General features: G+C 40.1%; 1 annotated feature.

The window, feature by feature from the left end:
- Positions 8,032-8,197: a silencer, noted in NCBI's record as "fragment chr18:20032204-20032369 (GRCh37/hg19 assembly coordinates)". NCBI's record gives its function as "represses an EF-1alpha promoter that drives an FKBP-Casp9 reporter gene in an ReSE screen in K562 erythroleukemia cells {active_cell/tissue: K562}" and the evidence as "EXISTENCE:reporter gene assay evidence [ECO:0000049][PMID:32094911]".

Consider the following 8,458-nt stretch of genomic DNA (forward strand, 5'->3'; position numbering starts at 1 on the left):
ATACTAAGCTGAAATCAGATGGCCTTACCTGGTCATTTGTTTTGTTTTGACTTTTTGTTAAAAACTAGTTTTGGTGAATATTTCAATACTTTTTTTTTTTTTTTTTTTTTTTTTTTTTGAGACGGAGTCTCACTCTTGTCACCCAGGCTGGAGAGCAATGGTATGATCTTGGCTCACTGCAACCTCCGCCTCCCAGGTTCAAGTGATTCTCCTGCCCCATCCTCCTGAGTAGCTGGTATTACAGGTGCCCACCACCACTTCTGGCTAATTTTTTGTATTTTTAGTAGAGACAGGCTTTCACCATGTTGGTCAGGCTGGTCTCCAACTCCTGACCTCATGTGATCCACCCGCCTCGGCCTCCCCAAATGCTGGGATTACAGGCATGAGCCACTGCACCCAGCCAGTACTTTCTTATTTCACCAAAATCATAATCAGAATATATTAATGTGCATTTTTATGTGACACATTTCAAGATGATTCTCTATTTTACTAATTAAAAGATTATTTAAGTGCCTTACTGGTATGATTATAGTAATTGTCAATGACAAATCTGTTCCTTATGACTCAATCATACATAGAACTCTGTAATTATCTAAAATAATAAAATGGTTTCAGATTTTTATATTAAAAATAATTTATATGCTCATTTTAATTGGCATCAGACAGACCTGTGTTTAAATTTTGGCTCTGAAAATGCTGGCTGTGTGATCTTTAGCAAGAAGTAATTTTAACTCTCTGAGGCTCAGTTAATTCATCTAAAAAATAGATATCTATATATTAGATGAATAAATGTGTATCTTTACATTATGTATTTAACTTAATATCCATAAAAGTAGATTGATATCCCATGACATTGGAGGAGGAACTTGCAGAAGTAATTTTAAAGTTAATCTGGAAGAAAAGGTATGCACTAATGCTAAACATTAAAAATAATGTGAAGTACAATATTAAAATATTATTTCAGAGAACCACTTTATATTTTCAGTAATCAATAAGAAAATCAGCAACTTCTAAAACTTTTTTGAAGGTGAGAAGAATGAGGAGAAGAAAGATAATGAGAATGAAGAAAATAAATGAGAATAGGTACGGAAAATCTCTCTTTCAGACTGGCATCATAGGACTGTGTTGGACATTTCTGGGTGGATGTGCCATTATGCTAGATAGCCTAGGTTTGGAGATGCAGTCAGTTCTCAAGCCAGCTTACTGTGAGTGGCCATTGACAGCCCTGTGTGGCTATGGCCCAGTTAATTTCCTTTCCAGTAGCAATTTTTTGCTGCTTTTCTCCAAGATGCTTTATAGTAAGTTAATGAACCCACTAGGTATTCATGTTACTACAAGGCGAATCTCATTCAGCTCTTCTATAAGGATTATTACAAAATTCCTCAAAATTGGGATGTGCATCATTCCTTAATAGCAGTTGTTTATATTCACAGATTCTGTCTTACCTTGAAAATTAAATTCAGCCTTGAAAGGAGGTATTATTTCTTTTCAATAAGGGTCCATGTTGTATGGGAATCAACTTGTTTATAGTGATGGCTTAAAGATAAATTGATCTTACACTTAGAAATTATTCTGACTTTAAAAGTTTAGTAAGAATAGTAAGAATGTGTTAGTGACATTACTCACCTTGCCCTCTATTTCTAAGATTTATAAGGAAACTCCAACAGGGCCCTGACTCTCCAGACCCAGCATGGCAACATTGAAAGATTGCTGAAAGAGCAATTTCAAAAGCACAGTCTTGCAGAAATATTCTTACTTTCATAACATTTACATAATCACCTTGAAGATTAAAAACAAATCTTGCTCCTCTGTGGCTTTTTGTTACTTGACAAGAATGTTGGGGTGCCCATTGATTTCCCAAAGTATGGGGGTGCTTCTTTCCCAGGGCAGTTCTCAAGCCCTCAGATGCAGTTTGATGAATTGGTGGAACATTTTTGCAACTTTTGTAATCTGGTATTGATTTACTCTCTTCATCTCAAACCCTTCCAAATTGTTATTTTATTGGGGAGGGAAATAGGGATACCACAAAGTGACACATATCCTTAAGAAGTGTTGGCAGCCAGCCCTTTCCAACCAGAAAGTGCAGTGGCCCCCACCTGTCTCTCTCGGTGGGACAACATGTACCAGGGTTTCCTTGCAGGGATACATTACATTCAAAGGCAAGATTGTTCTTTTTTTAAAAAAAAATTTTTTTTAATCTGATGCTCAAAGCTTTCCCAGTGACGTATGTCTGAGAGCCTGTGGAGTTTTCCTGCCATCCATTCTGTGATAGTGAATGACAAGGGACTATCCTAACGCAGTGTATGGTGACTGTGTGGTTGGGTCACCCATGGCAACAGGGTGAGGAGGAACATTGAGACTGGGCTCTGATGAGCAGCAGAGCCCCAGAGGATGATGAAGTGGTGAGTGATTTTCAAAGCAAATGAATTTATGACAATTCCCATCGTGGCTACTACAAACGAAATGAATGGCGGCCTCCAAATAGTAGCCGGGAGGAGAACCAAGGATGGTGATTTTGCAAGAAATTCTTTTGAGGCTCCCACTGGAGACGCAACCACCCCTGCAGGTGCTGGGGTGTTGCTACCAATTGTGGAGGACAGCATCTCGGGCAGCAAAGGAACTGCACCAATGGCAGACTCTCATGGTGCTGGGAGCACTGAGAAAAGGAGGGAAAAGGTGTTCTTCTGGTCAGCAAATCCAAATGGGCTCTGGGAGTGGAAGACTCCAGAAGAAAAATTTGTCTTAAGATGAGGGCAATAGAGGAGCTGTGGAAAGGCCTTTGAACTTCAGATCAAGGGACCTCACTCACAATTTCCACTGCCTCTGACTGGCTGTGTGCGTTTTGGTAAGCCTTGTCCCTGTTGAGCCTCAGTTACAGCTTGAGGAAGTTGATAATGTCAAGGTCTTCAGGAATGGTAACACCATGACGTCACTGGGACTGACTGGAAGCTCTTACTGCAAGGGTGTGGCATTGGTGGAACTACCAAAGAGGCTCTGATTGCTTGTAGAGTTCACAAAGTCGTTGTTATCTCCAGCTGTAGAATTAAAATGTTATTCCCGCTACTATCAAGTCAGTGGCCCAATGGCCTTCTTTCAGTATCTTAATATATGCCAACCCCTTTCTCTACCTCAGGGCCTTTATCCATGCTAGTCTCTGTACATGGAATGCCATTTTCCAAAGTCTGAACCTGGTTAACTGATCCTTGAGATTTATATTTAAATGTCATTTTCTCAGATTAGATTTGGTACACTGCTAGACAGTCCCAGGGCACCCAGCACTCTGCTTTAAAGCACTTATCACCATTATAATGCCATCCCTATTTGTGTAATTATATAATTTTCTCTTTTCCACTAGACTGGAGCTCCATGAGGATAGTAGCCATTCTCTGTCTGTTTCAATATAATTTACTTCAATGGCCAATACCTGGGACAAGCCTCTATTAAGCATGCAATAAACATTCATTACAGATTGAAACAAGGGGAACAATAATCACTTTTCTTGAGTATCTGCATATTTCAGTCTAAGTGAAGTCTTAGATTTATCCACTTCCTTCCAAAAAAAAAAAAAAAAAAAAAACGAGCACTGTAGTAAGATGTTAGGATTAATGCATCGTTTGATGTTTTAGTTTGCATAGCACTTCCACTCCATCGGTGCGCTCTACCACAAAAGCTCCTCATAATGTTTTCCAGAGGGCCAAACATTTTCAAACATAGAGGATTAAGTCTGATGGATTGTAAGCTACTCCCAAAAGTTAGTTAGAACTTTGTGGAATTTCTTTATTAACAGTGTTGAAATCACTCTCAGTCAACTTCAAAGTGCATTTCCTTCTTCTGAACAGCCAGCAACAGATTACTCATTAGATTTGGAATAAACTAATGAGATATGACATGTAAGTAAAGTATTAAAAATAAAGCAGCTTGGCTAATTGAAAATGTTTATTTTATGAATTTTTAGATGGCAGTGGCTTAAAATAATTGCCGATATGCAAGCTTGGCATTGGTAGTTTCTTCCCCACTGTAAAAAGCTGTGTAAAAAGCACAGCAAATATACTCTTTTGATTAATAAAGTGACAAAGCTCACAAATACCAGAGGCTTAAGGTGACTAACTGTCCTGATTTGCTGGGGACTAAGGGGTTTTCTGAGAGAGGGACTTTCAGTGTTAACACTGTGAGAGACCCCAGCAAACCCAGATGACTGGCTACCACAGAACACAGCACTGTTTGGAAAACCCCACCCTTGGAGTCTAATCCCAGCCCTGCCTGTAGGTTAGGCCTGCCCTGGGCAACTTTATGGGATCCTCTTCCCTGATCTGTACAATGAGGCCAATCAAGGAATGGTCAGGTCTGAAATAAATGACATTCAATATTCTATAAAATGAAGAATATGGCCATGCAACAGCAGGGATGGTGGGGAAACTAGCAGAGATGACAATCTTAACACTAGCATTTATGCAAATCAAAACCACCATGAGATTCCACCTCACACCCGTCAGAATGGCTATTACTAAAAAGTCAAAAAACAACAGATGCTGATGAGGTTGAGGAGAAAAGGGAACACTTATATACTGCTGGTGGGAATGTACATTAGTTCAGCCCCTGTGGAAAGCAGTTGGAGATTTTTCAAAGAACTGAAAACAGAAATACCATTTGACCCAGCAATCTCATTACTGGGTATATATCCAAAAGAAAATAAAGTGTTCTACCATTCACTCATATGTTCATCATGGCATTATTCACAATAGCAAAGATATGAAATAAGCCTAAGTGCCCATCAATGGTGGATTGGATAAAGAAAATGTGGTGCAATCAAAAAGCTTATCCATCACAATTAAGTCAGCTTCATCTCTGGAATGCAAGGTTGGTTCAACATAGGCAAATCAATAAATGTGAATCATCGCATAAACAGAACTAAAGGCAAAAACCACATAATTATCTCAATAGGTGCAGAAAAGGCTTTTAATAAAATTCAACATCCCTTCATGTTAAAAACTTTCAGTAAACAAAATGTTTAAAGAACATACCTCAAAATAATAACAGCCATCTATGACAAACTCACAGCCAACATCATATTGAATGGGCAAAAGCTGGAAGCATTCCCCCTTGAAAACAGGCACAAGACAAGGATGCCCTCTTTCACCACTCCTGTTCAACATAGTACTGGAAGAGGAAGTCAAGTTATCCCTGTTTGCAGATGACATGATCCTATATCTAGAAAAACTCATTGTCTCAGCCCCAAAGCTTCTGAAGCTGATTAAACTTCAACAAAGCCTCAGGATACAAAATCAATGTGCAAAAATCACTAGCATTTTTATACGTCAGCAACAACCAAGCCAAGAGCCAAATCAGGAGTGAACTCTCATTCACAATTGCCACAAAAAGATTAAAATACCCAGGAATACAGCTAACTAGGGAGGTGAAAGATCTCTGCATAAAGAGCTATAAACCTCTGCTTAAAGAAATCAGAGATGACACAAACAAATGGAAAAGCACTCCATGCTCATAAATAGGAAGAATCAATATCAGTAAAATGGCCATACTGCCTGAAGCAATTTATACATGCAATACTATTTCCATTAAACTACCACTGACATTCTTCACAGAACTAGTAAAGACTATTTTAAGAGTCATGTGAAACCAAAAAAGAGTCTGAATAGCCAAGGCAATCCTAAGCAAAAAGAACAAAGCTGGAGGCATCACACTACCTGACTTCAAACTATGTTACAGTACTATAGTAACCAAAACAGCATGGTACTTGTACAAGGACAGACACATAGACCAATAGAACAGAATAGAGAACCCAGAAATAAGACTGCACACCTAAAACTATCTGATCTTAAACAAACCTGACAAAAACAAGCAATGGGGAAAGGATTCCCTATTCAATAAATGAGGCTGGGATATCTGGCTAGCCTTATGTAGAAGACTGAAATTAGACTCCTTCCTTACATGATATGCAAAAATTAACTCAAGATGGATTAGACATAAATGTAAAATCCAAAACTATAAAAATCCTGTAAGACAACTTAGGCAATACCATTTAGGACATAGGCATGGGCCAAGATTTCATGACAAAGATGCCAAAAGCAATTGCAACAAAAGCTAAAATTGACAAATGGGATGTAATTAAACTAAAGAGCTTCTGCACAGCAAAAGAAATATCAACACAGTAAACACACAACCAACAGAATGGAAGAAAATGTTTGCAAACTAAGCATTCAACAAAGGTCTAATATCCAGCATCTTTAAGGTACTTAAATTTATAAGAAAAAAACAGCCCCATTAAAAAGTGAGCAAAAGACATGAACAGGTACTTCTCAAAAGAAGATATACATGTGGCCAACAAACGTATGGGAAAAAGCTCAACATCATTAATCATTAGAGAAATGCAAATCAAAACCACAATGAGATATCATCTCACACCAGTCAGAATAGCTACTATTAAAAAGTCAAAAAATAACAGATGCTGGCAAGGTTGTGGAGAAAAAGGAACACTATACACTGTTGGTGAGAGTGTAAATTAGTTCAGCCACTGTGGAAGACAGTGTGGCGATTCCTCAAAGACCTAAAGACAGAAATACCATTTGATCCAGCAATCCCATTACGGGGTATATACCCAAAGGAATACAAATCATTCTATTATAAAGACACATGCATGTGCATGTTCACTGTAGCACCATTCACAATAGCAAAGACATGGAATCAACCTAAGTGTCCATCAGAGATAGACTGGATAAAGAAAATGTGGTACATATACACCATGGAATACTATGCAACCATAAAAAAGAACAAGATCATGTCTTTTGCAGGGACATGGATGGAGCTGGAGGCCGTTGTCCCTAGTAAACTAACACAAGAACGGAAAACCAAATGCTGTATGTTCTCACTTATAAGTGGGAGCTAAATGATGAGAACACATGGACAGATAGAGGGAACAATACACACTGGGGCCTTTCAGAGGGGGGAGGGTGGGAGGAGGGAGAGGAGTAGCAAAAATAACTAATGGGTACTAGGCTTAATACCTGGGTGATGAAATAGTCTGTGCAACAGACTCCTACGACACAAGATTATCTATGTAATAAACCTGCACTTGTACCCCTGAACTTAAAATAAAAGTGAAAAAAATGTGGTGCATATACACCATGGAATACTACAAAGCCGTAAAAAAAAAAAGAACAAAGTCATGTCCTTTGCAGCAACACGGATGCAGCAGGAGGCCATTATCCTAAGCAAATTAACACAGGAACAGAGAACCAAACACCACATGTTCTCACTTATAAGTGGGAGCTAGACATTGGGTACTCATGGACCTAAAGATGGGAATAATAGACACTGGGGACTATTGGGGGGCTGAAGAGAGGGGGACAAGGGTTGAAAAACTCTTGGGTACCATGCTCACTTTCTGGGTGCCAGGATCATTTGTACCTCAAACCTCAGCATCACACAGTATTCCCGTAACAAACCTGCACATGTACCCCCTGTATCTAAAATAAAAGTTGAAATTATAACAAGCAAAACAAAACAAAACAAAAAAAACCACTAGCATTTGTAAGCCTTATTGGAGTTAGGACTTCACACTGCAGCACCAAGGGGTGGGGGCCTTTGTGTTTCGAGTGGAGACCATGAGCAGTCAGGGGTTCGCTCAGCTAATTCACTTCCTCTGCAGAACGACTCCATGGGAGTATTCCCATGGCTCCCATTTTATAGGCGAGGACAGGAAGAAAAAAGAGGGTAAGTGAAAGTTTGCTTGAAGGTCACCCAAAGGGGGAGCCGATAGTCAGACCAGGTCAGCTCTCCTTTTGGCCAAAGTCTCCTGACCGCTGAGATGAAAACAGCGGTGGGCTCCTCCAGGGAGGGTTTGGAGAGCAGAAGCTAAATCAGCCACAGGTTCCTTTTGTGTTGATTGAGTCACAAAGCCTCCAGGAGCTGCCAAGTGGCACAAGATGCTGCACTAGGTTTGGAATAAGAAGGCCCCCAGACCCAGTCTCACCCCCAGCTTGGCTGGGGCACTAAACGATTTTAAAAATAAAACTAGAGAGGCCCTGCGTAAACGGCAGGGGATCCATGTCCACCTGACAGCCCTTGGAGCTAACGCTAAGGGAGGACAGCTTGCAACAAGGGGCACGGGGCCTGAGATAAAGGAAGCGGTCACCTAGAGGGACGGGCCATCTGTCAAGCCAGTTCTTTCCCTCCCCTCCCTTCCCTTCCCCTCCCCTCCCCTCCTTTTCCTTTCTTTTCTTCTTTCCTTTTCTCTTTTCTTTCTTTTCTTTTCTCTTTCTACAGTCTCATTCTGTTTCCCAGGCTGGAGTGCAGTGGTGCGATCATAGCTCACTGCAGCCTCGAACTCCTGGGTTTAAGCAATCCTCCCACCTCAGTCTCCCCAGTAGCTGATACTACAGGCATGTGCCACCAGAGTCAGCATTTTTTTATTTTTTATTTTTTGTAGAAACTGGGCCTCTTT

Source organism: Homo sapiens, chromosome 18 (assembly GCF_000001405.40).
Source record: "Homo sapiens chromosome 18, GRCh38.p14 Primary Assembly".
In the NCBI taxonomy this organism is placed as follows: Eukaryota; Metazoa; Chordata; class Mammalia; order Primates; family Hominidae; genus Homo; species Homo sapiens.